This window comes from Homo sapiens, chromosome 19 (assembly GCF_000001405.40).
Source record: "Homo sapiens chromosome 19, GRCh38.p14 Primary Assembly".
NCBI classification, from domain to species: Eukaryota; Metazoa; Chordata; class Mammalia; order Primates; family Hominidae; genus Homo; species Homo sapiens.
This window is the reverse complement of record NC_000019.10, coordinates 46,956,108-46,978,937: the sequence shown is the minus strand read 5'-3', so window position 1 is coordinate 46,978,937 and position 22,830 is coordinate 46,956,108. Positions and strand designations below refer to the sequence as shown.

Here is a 22,830-nt window from a genome sequence, read left to right as displayed (position 1 = left end):
ACCACACAAACCCCACCACACACACACCCCACCACACACACCCCCACACCACACACACAATCCCACCAAACCCCACCATACACACACCCCACCACACAAATCCCCCACCACACAAACCCCCTACCACACACACACATCCCACCACACACACCAGACACATTCCACCACACACATGCCCCACCACACACACACACCACACAGACTCCACCACACACACATCCCACCACACACATGCCCCACCACACACACATCCCACCACACAAACCCCACCACACACACCCACCACACACACATACCCCACCGCACACACAGCCCTACCACACACACCACACCACACCCCCCCCACACGCCCCACCACACACACATCCCACCACACACACACCTCACCACACACACACATCCCACCACACACACACATCCCATCACACACGCCACCACCACACACACACATATCCTACCCCCCACACACAGACCCCACTACACACACACACAAAACACCCGCTTCCTTTCCACGGCAGGCCCAAGTAGAAAAGCCCCTTGGGGTTACAAGCAGATTCCTCCCAAGCATTAAGGAGGGCAGAGGTTAACTTCCTTCAGGTTCCTGATTCCCAATGACCCATGAAAGGAGGCAAACATGTCACCAATCACAGCCCAGTGTCCCTTCCTTTCCTGGCCTCTCTTCCCTAAGAAAGAATACTTTTCAGAGTCAGAAGCCTGTAAGCCTCAGGCAGGAAGGCTGATCCCAGTCCCTGCAATCTAGGATAAAAATCTAGGGTACAACACAAACTTCTCAACATGTGGCCTCGGGGGCTCCTGTCACCAGGCTCAAGCCTGCCACCCTCCCCTTATACTTCACTGCAGTCCTGATGAACTTGCAGGGCCTCCCTACAGTTGTTCCTTCCACTTTTACCTCTGTTCTGTGACTAAACAATGCTCCCTCCGAGGTCTCCCCTGACTCCTAGACTAAATTAAGTTCCTGTTATAGGATCCCAACAATTGCTTACATTTACGCAGTGCCGGCACTCTGGGCCAAGGCCAGCCATAAGCCTTTTACATGCACTGTCTCACCCAGTCCTCACACCAGCTCTGTGAGTTGTATTCTACCATTCTTCTTCCCATTTTATAACTGAACAAACTGAGCCACGTGGCAAACAGATGGCAGGGCTGGGATTCACACCCGGGCAGTCCGATTCCAGAGTCTGTGTTTAATCAATCACCACAAGGCACTGTCTCCATGCTCTTCCTGGACAGCCCTGGGCACCATGTGAAAGTCGCTGGATAGCTGTGTGATTAGCTGCTTAATGCTGGTCCCCTGGTAGACCCCTGAGTTCACAGGAGCAGGCAGAGTCCTCTCATCACCCGTCTGTGTATTGGGCTTGCACAGTAACTAGTACCAGGGAAGGCATTCAGTAGCTGTCTTCAGAAAGGAGGGAAGGAGGAAGAAAAGTGCAGCGTTTCTCCAGCTGAAGAGAGGGAGGAAGGCGACTCAAGTGTTTGTTCTCAAGGGGCCTGTGCCTTACTGGGGCCAGCATGGAGGAGCTGCTCCCTAAGCGGCTGGAGCATCCAACTCCTACTTTCCTTTCCAGATGTATTGAGGTTCTACATTCACCAAGAAGCCTTCTCCCTCCCCTTCTTCCCGGTAACTTCACTAGGAACGTAGTGGGTTCATTATTTCGCCACAGCCAGTCATGTGCTGCTGTTAAGTCTGGTCTCCAGACCTGGCTGTTAACTTTTACAGGGCAGAGCCATGGTTTGGCTGTGGCTGGGAGTCCCCACAGGGCCACGCCCCCTGCAGAAGCTGGCCACATTCTTGCTAATGGGCTGCTCTGTCGCCTTTTATCAGGGCTCAGCCTTCCCAGACTGACCTTATGCGGGTCTTAGATGTTTTTACAGTGAGTGTAACACGGAGGAGAAGAGGTTAGTTCATCTGTGCTTCACTGGCTTTGGTGAAATGAACAGGAAAAAAGCAGAGGTCAAGGAAACTGACAGGGGTTATAGAGGCATGGGGATTTGCTGGGTGTGAAACCTCATGAGCAAGGCAGCACAGAAGGTGTGCGTGTGAGTGAGATGAACAGACAGACACAGAGCAAGAGCAAGGGCCACCGGAGCCCCCAGGTGATAATTCAATGGCACAGTCAGGCCAGCTCCACCAAGGGCCCGAGAAGGTCCTGCAGCCGAGAGTGGGTACTGCTCCTTGGGACCACTCTCACAGGACAGCCTGCTGTACCGTCCTGTTTGTACTGCCTTGGCAAATATGGCAGGACAGGCCATGGGCCTGGTTGGCACGCTCAGGCCAGAGCAACCTGTCTGCCCGAGCTCCCCACCATGGAGAAGGCGAGTGCAGCCGGGACAGCCAGGCAAAGCAGCCGGCTGGAACCGTCTCGGGGCCTTGGGCCGCCACCCAGACTATTTCTGTCTTGGATGGAAGGCCAGGGTTACTTTGTGAAACAAGCTCTACTTCTCCTTGGCTGCTGGGCTCTCCAGGCGGTGTGCCAGGGCACACTGTTCTGATCAGGGCACTGGGGCCTGAGGAAATCCGCTAGCAATGCCGAGTCACAAGCTAAATGAACCCTGCTTATCTGGAACAGGCAAGAGCTGGCGAGCTGACTGCCTGCCTTTATGGCAATGGGGAATTTCTGGAATGCAAGTGACTTGTGCTTAACTTATAAGCAAGCAGAAAAACGGGAGGGTGGTGAGGAATGGTAGCAAAAAAAAAAAAAAAAAAAAGGAGAAAGCTTTGTTTTAAAACTATTTGGACTGTGGGAAAGCAATTTGTTAGTAAAACTAGAATTACAGGGGGAGGGAGAGAGATTAAGTAACAGACAGCCCCCATAAAAATCACAGCATATGAAACAGTATACCTCATATTTTAGCACTTTATCAATTCAAAGCAGTGCAAATACGGCAATTACTCACATAAAGCCTGTTGGTGTATTCAAGCTATAACCGTACCTATTAAACTGTTACAGTGATAGATGGGAGTATCTATACTGAAATTAGCTGCCTTCTCTGAAAGACAGAATTACATAGATCTAGGCTGACTGCAGGGAAATAGTAACTAACTGAATTTAACAGCTCTCGTCCCGCCAACTCTCCTTCATGATAGCTCTAGGAACTGGTGGCTATGATGAATGTGGAGGGAAACACGGAGGTTTTTTGCAGGGTGGCTGTTTTCCAAGTGGGAAGGTATTTGGTAAAATTCTGAATCTGCTCAGTCCAATGCTATAAAACTCACAGCTTCATCAGCCTAAAGCAGAGAAGACAGGAAAAGGGCTGGAACGTAGGCCTTTTCCATTCTGATGGGCTGTGAACGGCCTCTGCCAGAGGACTTGGGGATTTCTGTTTCCTCTTGTAAAAAGGGATTAGCATTACTTTGAGATTAATACTGTCCTCTGGCTCACGGGAGATTAACTAATAAACCATGTATGGGGTGTAAAGTGAAGAACAAGCCCCACACAGGCCCAGGATTCTCACTGTGCTGCCGCGGCACACTGGCCCCTGAGCTCCCAGCCCCAGGCTGGGCCCTCCCTGGTGCTCCTTCCAGATGTAGAGGCTGGCAGCCTCCTCTCCTGCGCACCCTCAGAAGGGTGCAGGAAGCCCACTAGCAAGGTCTTAAATTTAGGACCCCTGCAGGAGGGGATGGGGCAGTGTAGTAGAAGAAATATATATTTGGTTTTTGTCCCCGGCTCCTAGCACAGAGTTCCCCAAAGTCTTGGAATTTCCTGAGTGATAGAAGTATCTTTTGTTACTCATTAACAAGCCCCTTCTGGCCAGGCATGGTGGCTCATGCCTGTAATCTCAGCACTTTGGGAGGCCGAGGCAGGCCGATCACGAGGTCAGGAGTTCGAGACCAGTCTGGCCAACATAGTGAAACCCTGTCTCTACTAAAAATACAAAAAATTACCCGGGTGTGGTGGCATGCGCCTGTAATCCTAGCTACTCAGGAGGCTGAGGCAGGAGAACTGTGTGAACCCGGGAGGCGGAGGTTGCAGTGAGCCGAGATCGTGCCATTGCACTCAGCCCAGGCAACAGTGAGAGACTCCGTCTCAGAACAAACAAGCCCCTTCCAACCAAACCTGAGTTTCATGATAATGAGGTTACTCTTGTGGGCCCCTAGATAGTGCAGGATATGGGGGCTGGTCTCCAGAAAGACCAAACCTTTATTAGAGGGTTGGAACTGTCAGCCCCACCCACGACCTCTGGGGGTGAGGGGAGAGGGGCTGGAGATTGAGCTCAATCACCAATGGCCAATGAGTTAATCAATCAAGCGGACATCACAGAAACGCCATAAACACCCTCAGTGACAGGGTCTGTAGAGCTTCTGGGTTGGTAAACACATCGAGGTGCTGGGAGAGTGTGTATCCAGAGAGGGCACAGAAGCTCCTGGTGAATCGCCGCCCTTGCATACATCCTGTCCCTTGCATCTCTTCCATTTGGTTGTTCCTGAGTTATATCCTTTATAATAAATCAGCAAATGTATGTTAAGCGTTTTCTTGAATTCTGTGAGTCATCTTAGCAAATTATGGAACCCAGGGAGGAATGGGATGGTAACGCCAGACTTTGAAGGCAAGTAGGACAGAAGTGTGGGTAAGCTTACTTCTGGTTAGTCACCCAGTACTTGCAACTGGCATCTGAAGGGCAGTCTTGTGGGACTGAGCCCTTGAACTTATGGAGTCTAATGCTAACTTTGGGAGTTAGTGTCAGAATTAAATGAATTGCTAGACAGACACCCAGTGGTGTCAGAAAACTGAAGAAGTGGTGTTAGAAAAGATACACTTAGCTAGGTGTGGTGATGCACACCTGTAGTCCCAGCTACTTGGGAAGCTGAGGTGGGAGGATTGCTTGAGCCTGGAGGTTGAGGCTGTTGTGAGGTGAGCTGTAACTGTGCTATTACACTCTAGCCTGGGCAACAGAGCGAGATTCTGTCTCAATTTTTTTTTTTGAGATGGAGTCTCGCTCTGTCACCCAGGCTGGAGTGCAGTGGCGCAATCTTGGCTCACTGCAGCCTCCGCCTCCTGGGTTCAAAAGATTATCCTGCCTCCTGAGTAGCTGGGAATACAGGTGTCCGCTATCATGCTCGGCTAATTTTTGTATTTTTAGTAGAGATGGGGTTTAGTAGAGATGGGGTTTCACCATATTGGCCAGGCTGGTCTCGAACTCCTGACCTTGTGATCCACCTGCATCGGCCTCCCAAAGTGCTGGGATTACAGACATAAGCCATTGTGCCTGGCCCTCAATTTTTTTTTTGAGATGGAGTCTCGCTCTGTTGCCCAGGCTGGATTGCAGTGGTGCGATCTCTGCTCACTGCAAGCTCTGCCTCCTGGGTTCACGCCATTCTCCTGCCTCAGCCTCCCGAGTAGCTGGGACTACAGGCGCCCCGCCACCACACCCGGCTAAGTTTTTGGTATTTTTAGTAGAGAGGGGGTTTCACTGTGTTAGCCAGGATAGTCTCGATCTCCTGATCTCGGATCCACCCGCCTTGGCCTCCCAAAGTGCTGGGATTACAGGGATTACAGGCGTGAGCCACTGCGCCCGGCCAATTTTTCATTTTAATTTATTTATGTATTTATTTTTGAGACGGAGTCTCGCTCTGTCATCCAGGCTGGAGTGCAGCGGCACGATCTCGACTCACTGCAACCTCCGCCTCCCAGGTTCAAGCAGATTCTCCTGCCTCAGCCTCCTGAGTAGCTGGAATTACAGGTGCCCACCACCACGCCCAGCTAATTTTTGTATTTTTAGAAGAGACAGAGTTTCACCATGTTGGCCAGGCTGGTCTTGAATTCCTGACCTCAGGTGATCTGCCTGCCTCGGCCTCCCGAAGTGTTGGGATTACAGGCGTGAGCCACTGCAGCCGACCTGTCTCAATTTTTTTAAAAAAGAAAAGAAAATGTACAGATTTGTCAGGAAGAAAAAAAATCCTCAGGTAGTTAAGAGAGGTTTGGAAGTAAATCTTCAGTGCAGGGGAACAGGGTTGAATACTATCTGCCTGTTTCCATTGCTCTGTGAGTAGCCAGGACTCCACCTGATCTGTCTTCTGTGGGCTTCAATTCACTCCAGTAAAGGAAGGCAGTGTGGCTAGCAGGCAATGGCTCTGGGTTTGAATCCCAGATTCTGTCTTCATCCTTCTGAATCCCATTTTTCTTAAGAGAAAATTGGAAATCACAGCTATCTAATATGGTTGCTATGAGGCTTAAATGAGACTCATGGAAACACTTAGCACAGGGCCTGGCAATGTGAGCTCCAGCCTGGCACTTGGTACATATTATCTCTTTTAATATGTGCAAGTACTTTGCAAGGAAGCTACTTTTGTCTTCATTTTTCAATCAAGGACAGGGAGACTCAGGAGTGAAGGAACTCGCTCAGGGCCACATCTGTCATGCTGCCCGCAGACACTGCTTTCGTACCTCTCACGAAAGGCTGTGCGCCGCACGCCTAAGTCTAAAGAAAGAGCACTTCCCAGTTAGATTAAGCAATCTGGGAGTTAGTTCACCAGCAGCTGTAGGAAATCAGCTCAAGAAATAGTTGGCCTTTTGTCCTGCTGTGTCCCATCAGGACAACACTGCAATTTGTTCTCAGTTAGTTATAAAGCTGAAAATATATGCATATTACTTATTCTAAACACTTAGCTGGCCGGGAGCGGTGGCTCACGCCTGTAATCCCAGCACTTTGGGAGGCTGAGGTGGGTGATCACCTGAGGTCAGGATTTTGAGACCAGCCTGGCCAACATGGCGAAACCTCATCTCTACTACAAAAATACAAAAAGTAGCCTGGCGTGCTGATGCACGCCTGTAGGCCCAGCTACTCAGGAGGCTGAGGTGGGGGATCGCTTGAACCCGGGAGGCGGAGGTTGCAGTGAGCTGAGATTGTGCCACTGCACTCCAGCCTGGGTGACAGAGCGAGACTCCATCTCAAAAAACAAACAAACAAACAACACTTATTAGCCATTTCCATTTACAAGCTTGGTGGGTTTTTTTGGACAGCAGTTCTAGGAAAAACTGGGCTGATATTTTCTGAAGAACTGTGCACCACTCATCAGTGTTCTTAACATTGGGAGTTATTTCTGCAATCACATAAAAACATAAGTGAGATGGATGTATGTGAGGCCACCTCTCTGTAGGGAAGGATAAAACTGAGGGAGCCGGCCAGGTGCGGTGGCTCACACCTGTAATCCCAGCACTTTGGGAGGCCAAGGCAGGCAGATCACAAGGTCAGGAGTTTGAGACCAGCCTGACCAACTTGGTGAAACCCCGTCTCTACTAAAAATACAAAAATTAGCCAGGTGTGGTGGCGTGCGCCTGTAATCCCAGCTGCTCAGGAGGCTGAGGCAGGAGAATCGTTTGAACCTGGGAGGGGGAAGTTGCAGTGAGCCGAGATCACACCATTGCACTCCAGCCTGGGTGACAGAGCAAGACTCCGTCTCAAAAAAAAAAACCCCAAAAAAGAGAAACAAAACAAAAAAAACCCAAAAAACCAAGGGAGTCATTACACCCTGATACCCCCCAGAAGTTTGTCTATTTTTTTTGTGTGTGTGTGAGATGGAGTCTGGCTCTGTCGCCCGGGCTGGAGTACAGCGGCGTGAGCTCAGTTCACTGCAACCTCTGCCTCCCGGGTTCAAGCGATTCTCCTGCCTCCACCTCCCGAGTAGCTGGGACTACAGACGCACGCCACCACGCCCGGCTAATTTTTGTATTTTTAGTAGAGATGGGGTTTCACCATATTGGCCAGGCTGGTCTTGAACTCCTGACCTCGTGATCTGCCTGCCTCGGCCTCCCAAAGTGCTGGCATTATAGGCGTCAGTCACCGCGCCCAGCCAAGTTTGCCTATTTTTAGTTCATACACATGGAGGTGAGACACTGGAAATGGAGCCAGGTTCTACCACTCTAACACATGGAAACAGTTTGTTGGTTGCTATTTTCCCTGTGTGTCGTGTGAGTATACGTGACAATGACTGTCTGTTTTGGAGAGGATCCAATGGCAGGGGATGGGCACAGTCAAGCTAGAGGTCAGTTATAATCACTTTGGGGCCCATGGACTCACAGGGAAGCTATGCAGTCTCCTGTCACGGAGAGCTGTGAAGAGAAAATGATTTGATCTAGGCTCAATCATTCCACTTCGAGTCATCCTTTAAGTCCCAACAACTCTACCTCCCAGCCCTCCCTGGCCTCCCTGACCTCCTTTTGTAGGCTCTACATGGTTTAGGGTGAAATCTTCACCCTTACTAGATTATAAATCCCTTGAGAACAAGGCTGCATCATCGTCCTGGCTTGCTCTCGATCAGTGGTATAGTTTCCACAAACGCTGTGAATGAACAGTGATCTCTAACTTTTTCAGGGGAGGAGACGCCCCTCACTCTGATCTCCTGATGAAGGGTATAGACTCTGCACCATCCACAGGGCAAGTGTACACCTGGGTGTGTGTGCACACACACAAAATTTCCGCAGTAATGTTGAGGAGTTCAGACTTCCATAGCCTATCCACAGACCTTAGGTTAAGCACCCCTACGTAAGGAACATGCCTGCTTGCACAGTCCTTCAAGTTAGAGACTGCAGGGGTGTGAGTTTGCTCTCCCCCACATTACCTGCTCTACACTGCACTGGGTTCCTCAAATCACAAATATTTCTGCAAACACCAAGGATGGCTCTTGTAGCAGCAATATCCCATAGCATTAAGAAGTGAAACACAGCTTGTGTGCAATATATTGCCAATGGAAATAGCTTAGGGCTGGGTAAGGAAAAAGAAAAATGTTGACAGACTTAAGCCAAGATGAGATCTTGAAGTGATCAAGCCCCAAGAATTCACCCTGCACCCCATGACTTTCTTTCTTTGTCCCAATCTAATTCAATCCGTGGAAAGAAAAATTCACTAATTCCTTCAATAGATACCCGAGTGCCTACTATGGGTCACAGGTAATGGAAAGAAGAGGCAGTCTTTGCCCCAATTCCTCACAGTTCAGTAGGGGAAACAGAGAAGCCAGGCAGCGGAGCAAAGGCAGCGTGGTGGCAGTGGTGGTGTGTGCAGGGGTCCAGCTCTCCTGGTGCTGCTGCCTCACTTGCCTTGGCAGGTGGGAGGGGGGTATTCACAGAAGCATTCCTAGGAAAATACAGAGGGCAGATGGAAAAACAAAGTCCTCGAATCCAGCCCAGTAACACTTGTAGCAGACAGATCCAACAATGGCATGAGTAGATCTCCTTCAGAGAACCTAGGAAAGACGTGTTGCTTCTCTGAGCTGATGACACCCCACAGAAAACAAGTCGCTGAGTGGTTATTGAGGGCAGGACTGGTCCAACCCTCTGCCCCTAGACCTCTGCAGGAGGCAAGTGCTCTCTAAGGGTCTGTGTGTCGCAGCTCACGCGGGCTGGATGCAGACGTTCACCGAAGACACTAGTGCTGTCTCCCATCCCTGGTTGCTCCTGAGAGTGGAGCAGTGCCTCAAGCAGTCCGACAGAGTGTATGTGCCAGACAGGAGAAACCACCAGGCAGTGAGGAAGCTTTGTCAGAGCAGGTCTCTTCTCCAAGGACCCACCTCAAAAAGAACACAGGCCACTGCAGACTCAGTGAAAAATTTTAAGTAGCAAACCTGGAGTAAAACATCTATCCACCTATCCTCCGTTTATTATGATTATTATTTCACAACCGTTTTATTGAGATATAATTCACACAACATACAATTCACCCACTGTGAGAGTGTCCAATTCGATGGCTGTGAGCACATTCAGAGTTGCACAAGTATCACCACAATTTTAGAGCACTGTCATCAACACCCAAAAAACTGTATCCATGAGCAGCCACTCCAAATTTCTCCCTTCTCGCAGCCCCTGGCAACCACTCATCTACTTCTTTCTATTTTTTTTTTGAGACAGTCCTGCTCTCTGGCCCAGGCTGGAGTGCAGTGGTGCAACCTTGGCTCACTGCAACCTCTGCCTTCCAGGTTCAAGAGATTCTTCCGCCTCAGTCTCCTGAATAGCTGGGATTACAGGCACACACCACTACGCCCGGCTAATTTTTGTATTTTTAGTAGAGACAGGGTTTCATCATGTTGGCCAGGATGGTCTTGAACTCCCGACCTGAGATGATCTGCCTGCCTTGGCCTCCCAAAGTGCTGGGATTACAGGTGTGAGCCACTGCACCCGGCCCACTAATCTACTTTCTATCTTTATAGATTAGCCTATTCTAGATAATTCTGTGTAAATGAGATCATGGGCCATGTGATCTTGTGTGACTAGTTTACCTCACTTAGCGTAATGTTTTCAAGGTTCATCCATCTGTAGCACGTCACTACTTTGTTCCTTTTTACGGCCGAATAATATTCTACTGTATGAATATATTATATCTCGTTATCCATTCACTCATCAGTGGGATATTTGGGTTCTTACCATTTTGGGGCTATTATGAATAATGTGGCCTCCATATTATTTTGAACCCAAATTCTGAAGTGACCTACAGATATTTCCCCAAACTCAGGAAGGATGTGTGTGACACTTTGTGGCTGGCCTCCAGCCGAGGGACAGCAGGCTTCCCATTAGCCTTGCCGGTGGATTCCCTTGCTTTCTTCCCTCCTGCTCTGCTGACCCACAGCTCCTTCTGTCCAAGCCCATTTATTTAGATATCCCACCTAAATGTTTCACACGCATGCCCTATCAGCAACACACATGCTGTGCCCCTACACTAAACACTGGGCATTTGCTCCTGCCCAGATACTGCCACCTTGCTCAAGACCTTAGTGTTATATGAATCTTCTTCCTCCTCCCTTTCTATGTATACAATTCCACGTTTCCACCACTGAATGAAGCTTTTGAGGGGAGAGGTCTCTGGAGTGTTTCTGTGCCATTCAGTCATTCATCATCATTTACTAGAGCCCTGTATGCTTGGCTTGGAGGAGACAATGAAGATGACCCGGTCCCTTCCCTCAAGGAACTTAGGATCCATTGAGGAAGGAAGACAATCAGAGTACAGTGTGCTACGTGTTCACTGGGAAAGCACAGGGCGTGACAGACATGGCAGGGAGCCCTGGCTCACAGAGCAGGTCAGAGAAGGACTCCGGGCGTGACAGACACGGCAGGGAGCCCTGGCTCACAGAGCAGATCAGAGAAGGACTCTGGGAGGGAGTCTCGAAGTGGAACAGCAAGGAAAGGCAGTGCGGGTGAGAAATATAATGGCAGCTTAAGGAACTGTGCGTAGTTTTAATCTGTGGGCTGAAGTTTAGAGTGAATGAAGGAAATGGCAAGAGGCAGAGCTAGACAGTGGGCAGGGACCACATCCTGCTGGTAAGTAGTAGGATGAAACTTCATCCTAGAGTGATACAGAACCACTGATGAGTTTTAAGCAGGTGAAGATGAAGTGATCCCATTTATTTTGGAAAGATATTTGCAGCAGTGTGCATAAGGGACTGAAAGGACATGAGACCAGAAACAGGAAGGTCAATTACAAAGAGGCTACCACAGTAAACCAAGAAGAGGGTGAGAGACTAAACGCAGGGGCAGGGGCCAGGCTGAAAACACGCTTAGGTGGTAAAAACAATGGGACTGACTGATGAGGTTGACTGGTGTGGGAAGGTAACAAGGGAGAGACCCCCTCCCCATGGAGGACATGCTGTTGACTCAGGTCAGCAGATTCTCTGGGATGAAAACCTTCAAACCCTACCTTCCCGCAAATGGTAACGGTGAGGGCTGACAAGCTTTCTCAGGAGTGAGAAAATCCTTCTTCCAAATGAAATCTTAAACTGAACCTTAAGGCTGAAGGATCCAGAGTCCTGGTGGCCTGACCTTTCCCGTCCCCATGCAGAAGGACTCCCTTACAATTCTAGGGATCTGAGAAAAAAAAAAAAAATCTGAAAAGCCCAGGCCAAGTCCAATTGCTGGAGGCTGACGTTCAAAGGATTTTAGGGCAATATGGCTACGTGGTCAGCACGGCCTCTCACCTCTACACCTGACTCTCATTCAGTTGACTTTCCACACCTAGACTATTCCTCCCATCCTGTTAGAGAATCCAGTGTATCTTTAAGGACAAGCCTCCATCCCAGACTCCAAGCAAGCAAGCTCCCTGACTTCTGCAGCACTAACCCCTGCAGCCTCATGGGCACTGGGCAAACTGACTGTGGAGAGATATTAATTTTCTCTTTGATGTGTGTAGTCATCTCCAATGGGGGCTGGCCTCAGGCTTCCTCAGGATCTTCTTGGCTTCAAAAATGCCTTGTACTTGATAGGCCAGAAATATTATTATAGACTAACTTATTACACTCACTCCATCCCATCAACCCTAGAAAGTAAGACAAACAACTGTAATGACTACACAAGAAAAAAGAGAAGAGGAAAAAAAGCAGAGAGGTGTCATGACTTTGAAATGAAGGACCATACATTACAAAGATGTTCAATTGCATTTTTTGGGGGTGGGGGACAGGGTCTTGCTTTGTTACTCAGGCTGGAGTACAGTGGTGCAACCATGGCTCACCATGGCTTCAACCTCCCACGCTCAAGTGATTCTCCTGCCTCAGTCTCCCAATCAGCCAGGACTACAGGTATGCACCAGCACACCTGATTAATTTTCTAATTTTTTGTAGAGACAGAGTCTCGATATGTTGCTGGGGCTGGTCTTGAATTCCTGGGTTCAAGCAATCCTCCTGCTTCAGCTTCCCAAAGTGTTGGGATTACAGGCATGAGCCACTGCGCCTGGCCTCAATTGCATTTTGTATATAAATAAAATAAAAATCTCAATGGAATGGTTAAAATGCACTAAATAAAATAATACCAAAAATCGTATAAATATTTTGCAAAGAAAGAAAAAAATACCAAAAATATCTTTAAAAGATCCAATAGAAAATATCACATATGGCAAACTGGAAGGTTGCAAAGTAGACCCCAGGGGCTGCTGGATGTACAAGTGAAGCTAGGTATTGAGGCTGGGGAGACTGAGGGTTTCCAACTAATACTTCCTTTATTGACTTGGTTTTGACCAGAGAAGACTAAGAGTCCTTCTAGGGGGCAATATGAACTATCTTATTCATATTTTAGCCTCCAGCATCTAATGGAACTGACACATAACAGGTGTTCAATTATTCTTTTAGGATTGTAAAAACTAAACATTGTGAGGCTAAAGAATATTCTGGCAAAGACAGCAATTATGGGAATGAAACATGGAGTTGAAAAAGATTAATCCAGGCCGAGTGCAGCAGTTCACGCCTGTAATCCCAGCACTTTGGGAGGCTGAGGCAGGAGAGTCACTTGAGCGCAGGAGTTGGAGATCAGCCTGGGCAACATGGCGAAACCCCATCTCTACAAAAAATACAAGAATTAGCTGAGCATGGTGGTGTGCACCTGAAGTTCCAGCTACTTGGGAGGCTGAGGTGGGAGGATTACTTGAGCCTGGGAGATCGAGGCTGCAATGAGCCATGACTGTGCCACGGCACACCAGCCTAGGTGACAAAGTGAGACCCTGTCTCAAAACAAACAAACAAACAAACAAACAAACAAACAAAAAACCCAAGAAAAAGACCCAGAGAAAAAGTTGAATTTTACCAGCTATTAAAGCACTTTTGAGAGTAAAAATTTAGGAAACATGATTTTGGTATAAAAACAAGAAAGTAAAATCAGTAAAACAAAAGAAATCTTAGAAAAGACTCTTTTTTTTTGAGATGAAGTCTCGCTCTTGTCCTCCAGGCTGGAGTGCAATGGCGCAATCTCGGCTCACTGCAACCTCTGCCTCCTGGGTTCCAGCGATTCTCCTGCTTCAGCCTCCTGAGTAGCTGGGATTACAGGCACCTGTCACCACGCCCGGCTAATTTTTGTATTTTTAGTAGAGACGGGGTTTCACCATGTTGGCCAGGCTGGTCTCAAACTCCTGACCTCAGGTGATCCGCCCGCCTCGGCCTCCCAAAGCGCTGGGATTACAGGCGTGAGCCACCGCGCCTGGCCTAAAAAGACTCAATTTTAAGAACTGAATATTTGATAAAGTAATTGTCACAAAATATAGGGGAAGGCTATCAAAAGGTAGTACTATGATAACTGAATAAACATATGAAGGGAAAGAAATCACTTTAGATCCATGCTCTGTATTTGGACAGGCTACCAAAGACCTACCAGGACTGTTCATTTCTGCAAGTTTTTAAGACTTTTATTCTCTCTCTGGGTCCATGTTGGCTTGTGCCCATTTCTTTTTTATCAAAGGATTCACATATTGACCTTATTACCCTGGTAGAACCCCCTTCCATAAGCTCCAATGAGCCACACCAGCCCTTCTGCTGAACTGAAACTGCCCTATCAAGCAAATATTATCCCACATTCAGAGGGTCAGCTGAAACCAGTTGAAAGTTGAGAATTATTTTTGTCAGTTTTTCAATGGGAGATTGGCTTATGGAGTAAAAGTAGACTTAAAGAATGATGCCACTGGCTGCGCATGCTGGCTCACACCTGTAATCCCACCACTTTAGGAGGCTGATGTGGGAGGATCACTTGAGCTCAGGAGTTCAAGACCAGCTTGGGCAACATGGTGAGACCCCATCTCTACGAAACATATTTTAAAAAGTTGCCAAGCTTGGTGGTGCATGCCTGTGGTCCCAGCTACTCGGGAGGATCACTTGAGCCCAAGCAGTCAAGGCTGCAGTGAGCCATGATCACGCCACTGCAGCGCTCCAGCCTGGGTGATAGAGCAAGATCCTGTCTCAAAAAGAAAAGAAAAGAAAAAAAAAAGTCACCTGCTCAGGTTCACAAAATAAATTACAAATTTAAATTTAAATTTATAATAATCTTGTCTGGGCATATAATAATGACTCATATAATAATGAGTCCGGTGGCTCATGCCTGTAATCCCAGCACTTCAGGAGGCTGAGGCGGGTGGATCACCTGAGGTCAGGAGTTCAAGACCAGCTTGGCCAACATGGTGAAACCCCGTCTCTACTAAAAATATAAAAATTAGCTGGGGGTAGTAGCACTCACCTGTAATCCCAGCTACTCGGGAGGCTGAGGCAGGAGAATTGCTTGAACCTGGGAGGCGGACATTGCAGTGAGCCGAGATTGCGCCACTGCACTCCAGCCTGGGTGACAGAGCAAGATTCCATCTCAAAAAATAAAAAAATTAAAAATAAATAAATAAAATAATCTCATCTCTGATGATACAGCATGGCATCTGCTGGCATTTGTGAAGCAGTATCACAGCAATAAACCATTATTAAAGCATACTACGTGGAGGACACCGATTAAGTCCCATGGGAGATAGAAAAATTAACAGCACTGTCGTGTCCTCTTTCGAGGTGACAGGGAGACAAGATAAAGGTGAAAAGTTAGATCACACTTAGATATAATAAAAGATAAGCTAAAAGTTAGGACCAGATGACTGCTAAACAGATGACACAGACAACTGGCATGGATGTCCACAGGAGGGACGGCAAAGTCAGCTCCAACAAGGATGGTCATCAGAGAAGAGGCACGCTTTCAGATGGGGCTTGGAAAATAGATGGGATTTGCTGAGGCCAGTGTGGAGGAGTGAAGGCACAGAGGAAGGGAAGCAAAAGAGAAGAAAGTGATGAAAGTGAGGAGGGGCTTGAACTGAGGTCCCACATGGGAATTTTCTGCTGAGAGAGTGCCCACTTTTAAGGCACCCCACGCAGATGTGCTACCAGAACAAGCAGTCAACAGTGTGTGCGTGCCAGCAAGCACTCAGAACACAGCATAATTTCCAATCAAAGACAACAGTTTTTGACCACAGGAAGTGCTCAAAATCATACTATGCCCTGAGTCACATAAGGTTTCCAGATAGAACCCCCACAGAAAAGTAAAGGAATCCTGGACGCTGAGAATCTCCCATCAGGGTAGCACACCATGCAAACAATTCCTTGGAGTTCACCACTCACCACCCTCCCAAAGCAGGCCCAGGAAGAATGAAACAGAAATCTGCTTTATTTTTATTCTGAGCAAATAATTTTACTAAAAAAGATAAAATTTTCTGAAATAGGCTAGCCTGAAAAGGAGTAGGAAGCAGCAGCAAAACGGGAAGGATGAGGATGCAGTGAGAAAAAGGACTAAGAATGAGAGGTTGAGGCCGGGCGCAGTGGCTCATGCCTGCGATCCCAGCACTTTGGCCAAGTGCGGGCGGATCACCTGAGGTCAGGAGTTCGAGACCAGCCTGGCCAACATGGTAAAACCTCATCTCTACTAAAAATACAAAAATTAGCTGGGTGTGGTGGTGCATGCCTGTAATCCCATCTACGTGGGAGGCTGAGGCAGGAGGCAGGAGAATCACTGGAACCTGGGAGGTGGAGGTTGCAATGAGCCAAGATCGCACCACTGCACTCCAGCCTGGGCGACAAAGCGAGACTCCATTTCAAAAACAAAAACAAAAGAATGAGAGGTTGGCCAGAGTAACAGAGAACCGAACTTTTCTCCATCAGAAACTTCCCCACCCTTGTCTACTGCCTGGGTGTGAGGCCTTGTGCTAGAATTTCTGCCCTAAACACAAGAGCATAAGCTATAAAACCAGAAATTCCATTTGACACATGAGCTGGCTCTGAGACTCTCCATTATTCTTCAGGGGCCTCAAGGTGAGAGACATTGTCACACATTCACGGCCTTTCCAAGTGCCAACAACATCACTAGCCAGTCTTGGCAAGGCAGGCCAGGGCTCTGGCTTCTTGCACAGGCTCTCAGAAACCCTGAGCTGCTCATATGGCAAGACAGTGGGGAATCTCTTCAACTCCTGGGTTCTTATCTTTAAAATGGAAGAGTTGGGACTAGAGGCTTTTTTAAAAAACAAACTCTTATTGAAAGATAATACACATTCAGAAGTTTACAGAGAAGTGTACGGTGATGGATTTTCACACAATGACCACACTTGTGTAAACAGCACCCACAGATCAAGACACAAAACATCCCAGCATTCCAGAAGCCTTTTGTGCCCTCTACCAGCCTCTACTCCCTCCCCAAGGATATCCACTATCCCAATCCTTTCCTTCCCTTCCCTTCCTTCCTTCCTTTCTCTCTTTCTCTTTCTCTCTTTTTCTTTCTTTCTCTCTCTCTTTTTTGAGGCAGGATCTCACTCTGTCACACAGGCTGGAGGGCAGTGGCGCAATCTCGGCTCACTGCAACTTCTGCCTCCCCGATTCAAGCAATTCTCCTGCCTCAGCCTCCCGAGTAGTTGGGACTACAGGTGTGCGCCACCACGCCCGGCTAATTTTTGTATTTTTAGTAGAGATGGGGTTTCACCATATTAGCCAGGCTGGTCTTGAACTCCTGACCTCAGGTGATCCACCTGCCTCGGCCTCCTAAAGTTCTGGGATTACAGGCATGAGCCACCGCACCTGGCCACTATCCTGATTTCTAATAGCATGGGTAGGTTTTCTGGTTTTCTACTTTATAGAAATAAAATATACAGTATACATTCTTTTATTTCTGGCTTCTTTTATTCAACGCGTCCATGAGATTCACCCATGTTGTGGAGAGGTGGACTGGATGACTGTAAGGCAGCTGCAATTCTAACATATTACCATTTTACCACTACCCTAATATACAGCTGATGGAGGTGCTATACTGGAGAGCATTTTGGCAATATTGTTTAAAATATAAAATGTACCTATCCTTCCATCTGCCTATTCCATTCTGAGGTATCTATCCTATAGATGTATTTGCATGCACATGTATGTGTGTGTATACATGTGTCTACACATGTATAGATAGCCAATGCAGTATTATCTATATTAACAAAAGACTGAGATGATGTCTTTTAACAGGAGACTGATTAAACAAATTATTATACAGTTGGCTGGGCGCGGCAGCTCATGCCTGTAATCCCAGCACTTTGGGAGGCTGAGGCGGGCGGATCACCTGAGGTCAGGAGTTCGAGACCAGCCTGGCCAACATGGTGAAACCCCATCTCTACTAAAAATACAAAAATTAGCTGGGCGTGGTGGCAGGCGCCGGTAATCCCAGCTACTCAGGAGGCTGGGGCAGGAGAATCGCTTGAACTCGGGAGGTGGAGGTTGCAGTGAGCCGAGATTGCGCCACTGCACTCCAGCCTAGGGGACAGGAGTGAGACTTCGTCTCTGAAAAAAAAAAAAAAAAGCCAAAGAAATACTCTCCAGTCAAGTTTTTCAAAGGCTGATTTATGCCCATCATTATAGGAAAATGTATGCAATACATTTTTAGGTGGGAAAAAGCAAAGCATAGAACAGCACATTCAGCATGGCTCCATCTGTATAAAAAGCAGCCCAGCACATTATATCTATTATGTGTAGACACATATACAGAAAGCTCTGGAAGGTACAATTTAAACTCTTAATAGCAGGTAACTTTGAGAATGAGAAAATGACTTTACTTTTTACTTCTAACGATTCTACAATTTTTTTTAACAAAATACGTGTTCATTGCTAAATTACTTTTCACACAATACAGAAATACGTGGAATAAACAGTAAAAGCCCTATTTTTTTCTCCAATCTGTTCTCTAATAAGAAACTCTCTTCTCTGCATGTAGACCAAAGAATGAAAACCTATGAAATTCTTCATATACAAAAGACCTGAGGAAGCCACAGGAATCTAGGGGTCTATCACCTACCGTCTCATACATAAGCTTCCTGCCTGAATGACTATATTGGTCTACATTGGCTCCTGTGGCACCCACTGCCTAGTCATGGAGGAGACATGTATTCCTTTTGTTTCTTAGCAGAGTGATACGTATACCCAAGAAGATGGGTACCTAATGACAGATCTGACTGAAATGCTAATAAAATTACAGGCAGACAGAAACAGCCAGGGCTAATGGAGAGAAGGCGGAAAAGGGCATAAGCACACATTCCTCAACAAGATCGGGTTACTTTTTTCTTTCTTTCTTTTTTTTTTTTTTTTTGTGAGACAGGTCTTGCTCTGTTGCCCAGGCTGGAGTACAGTGGTGCAATCATAGCTCACTCTAACCTTGAATTCCTGGGATCAAGCAATCCTCCCACCTTAGCCTCCTGAGTAGCTGGGACTATAGACATGTGCCACAATGCATGGCTAACTAAAAAAAAAAAAAAAATTTTTTTTGTAGAGGCAAGGTCTTGCTATGTTGCCCAGGCTGGTCTCGAACTCCTAGGCTCAAGCGATCCTCTAGCCCCTCTGCCTCCCAGCATGCTGGGATTACAGGCTGGAGCCACCACACTCGCACCTGGCTTCGAGTTACCTTTAAATGGCACAAAAGGAGCAGTTTCTAAAACAATGGTAGTGAGGAAGTCATCATCAGTAGACAAAATATAAAGACCATTTAAAAAAGGAGGTTTTTGGGTGGGTGCAGTGGCTCACGCCTGTAATCCCAGCACTTTGGGAGGCTGAGGCGGGTGGATCACCCGAGGTCAGGAGTTTGAGACCAGCCTGGCCAACATGGTGAAACCCTGTCTTTACTAAAAATACAAAAATCAGCTGGGCGTAGTAGCGGGTGCCTGTAATCCCAGCTACTTGGGAGGCTGAAGGAGGAGAATTGCTTGAACCCAGGAGGCCAAGGTTGCAAGTGAGCAGAGATCCTGTCATTGCACTCCAGCCTGGGTGACAAGAGTGAAACTCTTGTCTCAAAAAAATAAAAATAAAAATAATAAAATAAAATAAAAATAAATAAAAAAAGGAGATTTTTGGCTAGGTGTGGTGGCTCACACCTGTAATCCCAGCACTTTGGGAGGCCGAATCACTTGAGCACAGGAGTTTGAGACCAGCCTGGCAACATGGCAAAACCCCATCCTACAAAAAATACAAAAAAGTAGCCAGGTGTGGTGGTGCATGCCTGTAGCCCCTACCTGGGAGAATCACCCGAGCCCAGGAAGTCAAGGTTGCAGTGAGCTGTGAGATTGTGCCACTGCACTCTAGTCTGGGCAGTGAAGTAAAACCTTGTCTCAAATAAATAAATAAATTTTTTTTTAAAAAAGGAGATTTTCCAGAATGCTAAATTTATTTTACTTAACTGTACTTCGTTTAAAAACAGCAGAATAAAGATTTTACCCTTTTTCCTCTGGAGAATCACACAAAAGCAACCAGGAGAATGAGAAACAGAAATATCACCTATTTGACAAAACTGGAGACATCTGTGACCTCAATCCCCAATATATGAGTAAAAACGGCCAAATGCTGTAAAGGTCAAATGAGGGCGTGGGAAAGTGATGAAAGAGAATGCCTGTTGTTACAGATGTCAGAGAAGGCATGCAATTGCAGTTCTCAAAAGCAAATGCTTCACTACCAGGGTGCAAAACCATTGTTTCAAACAGTGGGAACTGGTTCAGGGACTCCTGACTGAGCCTTCCTCAGATCCCATCTGGTGTGCAGGATCATACATACAGGTCCAATGTGCAGGAAGCGGTCAATCAACGAGGTAGAGCAACAGAGAGCAACTGCCTGGAGCAGCTCTCCGATGGCCAGTTCCAGATGTCTGAGGAAAAAGCCTCGCAGTGTCATCCACACATAAAATATTTAAGGAAAACTCCTGCTAAGCTAGGCCCTCCTCCCATAGTAGTTTTCTACAAATTTGTTAGACTAGGAAGGAATCTTCAAAGAGAAATAATTTAAAAAGGATCTGGCACACACTAAACCATACACTTTTTTTTTTTTTTTTTGAGACGGAGTCTTGCTCTGTCGCCCAGGCTGGAGTGCAGTGGTGCGATCTCGGCTCACTGCCAAGCTCCGCCTCCTGGGTTGACGCCATTCTCCTGCCTCAGCCTCCGGAGTAGCTGGGACTACAGGCGCCCGCCACCATGCCCGGCTAATTGTTTTGTATTTTTAGTAGAGACGGGGTTTCACCGTGTAAGCCAGGATGGTCTCGATCTCCTGACCTCGTGATCCGCCCGCCTCGGCCTCCCAAAGTGCTGGGATTACAGGCTTGGGCCACCGTGCCTGGCCTTAAACCATGCACTTAAAAATGATTAAGATGGTGGCCAGGCATGATGGCTTGGGCCTGTAGTCCCAGCTACTCAAGAGGCTGAGGCAGGAGGATCGCTTAAACCCAGGTGTTTCAGGCTGCAGTGAGCTATGATCGCACCACTGCACTCCAGCTCCCTCCTCAGTGTTCTCACAGTATTTTGAACATAAGAAATCTCCCTCCTTCTATACCTATTCCCCCATTCTCATTTCCTAACTCCTAATAGCAGAGACCATGCCCTATGCATTATCTTCTGGCCTGCTGGAGAGGCTCATTAAACATCCTCATTGCACGAATGCGAGAAGCACAGATCCTGAACTAACAGTCAGGTGTGTTCTGATGCCAGCACCAATCACCTTGCCACTGTACCAAAATAGTTACTGTGCCCAATCTCACAAATTTATTCATCCTATTTAGAGGAATAAATCATCTAAGCCACACATTTAACAGTTTAGTTATTTATTTATTTTTGAGATAGGGTTTAACTCTATTGCCGGTCTGGAATGCAGTAGCGTGATCGCAGCTCACTGAAGCCTTGAGCTCCCAGGCTCAAGTGATCTTCCTACCTTAGCCTCCCAAGTAGCTGGGACTGCAGGCACATACTACCATGCCTGGCAAATTTTTTATTTTTTGTACAGGCAGGGTTTCCCTATATTGCTCAGGCTGGTCTCAAACTCCTGGGCTCTAGTGATCCTCCTGCCTCGGCCTCCAGAAGCACTGGGATGGTCACTGTGCCCAGCCCTACTTAACAGTTTAAATCACACTTTTTAAAAATGATGAAGGATGGTACCATTTGAATAGCAGTGTTAGAAAGTCTGCTTTGGCCGGGCGCAGTGGCTCACGCCTGTAATCCCAGCACTTTGGGAGGCCGAGGCGGGTGGATCACGAGGTCAGGAGTTTGAGACCATTCTGGCTAACATGGTGAAACCCCGTCTCTATTAAAAATACAAAAAATTAGTTGGGCGTGGTGGTGTGTGCCTGTAGTCCCAGCTACTCAGGAGGCTGAGACAGGAGAATGGTGTGAACCCGGGAGGCGGAGGTTGCAGTGAGCCGAGAGATGGCACCACTGTGCTCCACCCTGGGCGACAGAGCGAGACTCCGTCTCAAAAAAAAAAAAAAAAAAAAAGTCTGCTTTAAGAACAGCTAATGATAATTTGTAATTAGTAAGATGAGAGCTATACATATGCCTCAAATGTTTAGAAACCACTGGTTAAACGTAGGAAGATATATGCATACATAAAATACTGCTTATCATCATCATGCCTGTTTAACAGATGAGGAAACTGAGGCTTAGACAGGGTAAGTCACTTGCCCCAGATCACACAGCTACTGGGTAGCAGAGCTAGGCCTGGCATCCAAAGAGACTGACTCCATGTGGCTGCTCTTAATCACACTGATGTATTACAGTCTGAGCAGCCCTCAACCAAAATAGTTGGGACCAGAAGTGTTTCAGAATTTGGAATATTTGCATATAAGTAATGAGGTATCTTGAGGATGCGGTTGGGTGTGGTTGCTCACGCCTGTAATCCCAGCACTTTGGGAGGCCGAGGCAGGAGAATTGCTTGAACATGGGAGGCGGAGGTTGCAATGAGCTGAGACCGTGCCATTGCACTCCAGCCTGGGTGACAGAGTGAGACTCCCTCTCCAAAAAAAAAAAAAAAAAGATATCTTGGGGATGGGACCCAAACCTAAACACAAAATTTATTATGTTTCACATATACCTTATACACACAGCATAGAAGGTAATTTCATAAATTTTTTTTTTGAGACAGGGTCTTGCTCTATCACCCAGGTTGCAGTGCAATGGTGCAATCTCAGCTTACTGTGGCCTCTGCCTCCCAGGCTCAAGTGATTCTCTCACCTTAGCCTCCCAAGTAGCTGGGACTACAGGTGCACGCCACCACACGTGGCTAATTTTTGTATTTTTAGTAGAGATGGCGTTTCTCCATCTTGCCCATGCTGGTCTCAAACTCCT

The 22,830-nt window shown here is 47.3% G+C and overlaps 1 protein-coding gene across 3 annotated transcripts in view, besides 3 other annotated features; it reads right to left on the bottom strand.

Moving 5' to 3' along the window:
- ARHGAP35 (Rho GTPase activating protein 35) overlaps window positions 1-22,830 on the bottom strand; it is a 144,081-nt gene that overhangs the window by 26,140 nt on the left and 95,111 nt on the right. The window lies entirely within an intron of this gene.
- Window positions 1,113-1,968: an enhancer, noted in NCBI's record as "NANOG-H3K27ac-H3K4me1 hESC enhancer chr19:47480227-47481082 (GRCh37/hg19 assembly coordinates)". NCBI's record gives its function as "activates a minimal SCP1, AML or CMV promoter by ChIP-STARR-seq in primed H9 embryonic stem cells {active_cell/tissue: H9 hESC(primed)}" and the evidence as "EXISTENCE:reporter gene assay evidence [ECO:0000049][PMID:30033119]".
- Window positions 1,969-2,826: an enhancer, noted in NCBI's record as "NANOG-H3K27ac-H3K4me1 hESC enhancer chr19:47479369-47480226 (GRCh37/hg19 assembly coordinates)". NCBI's record gives its function as "activates a minimal SCP1, AML or CMV promoter by ChIP-STARR-seq in primed H9 embryonic stem cells {active_cell/tissue: H9 hESC(primed)}" and the evidence as "EXISTENCE:reporter gene assay evidence [ECO:0000049][PMID:30033119]".
- Window positions 14,827-16,026: an enhancer, noted in NCBI's record as "BRD4-independent group 4 enhancer chr19:47466169-47467368 (GRCh37/hg19 assembly coordinates)". NCBI's record gives its function as "activates an origin of replication core promoter dependent on BRD2, P300/CBP, MED14 and CDK7 cofactors, and independent of BRD4, by STARR-seq in HCT116 cells {active_cell/tissue: HCT116}" and the evidence as "EXISTENCE:reporter gene assay evidence [ECO:0000049][PMID:35650434]".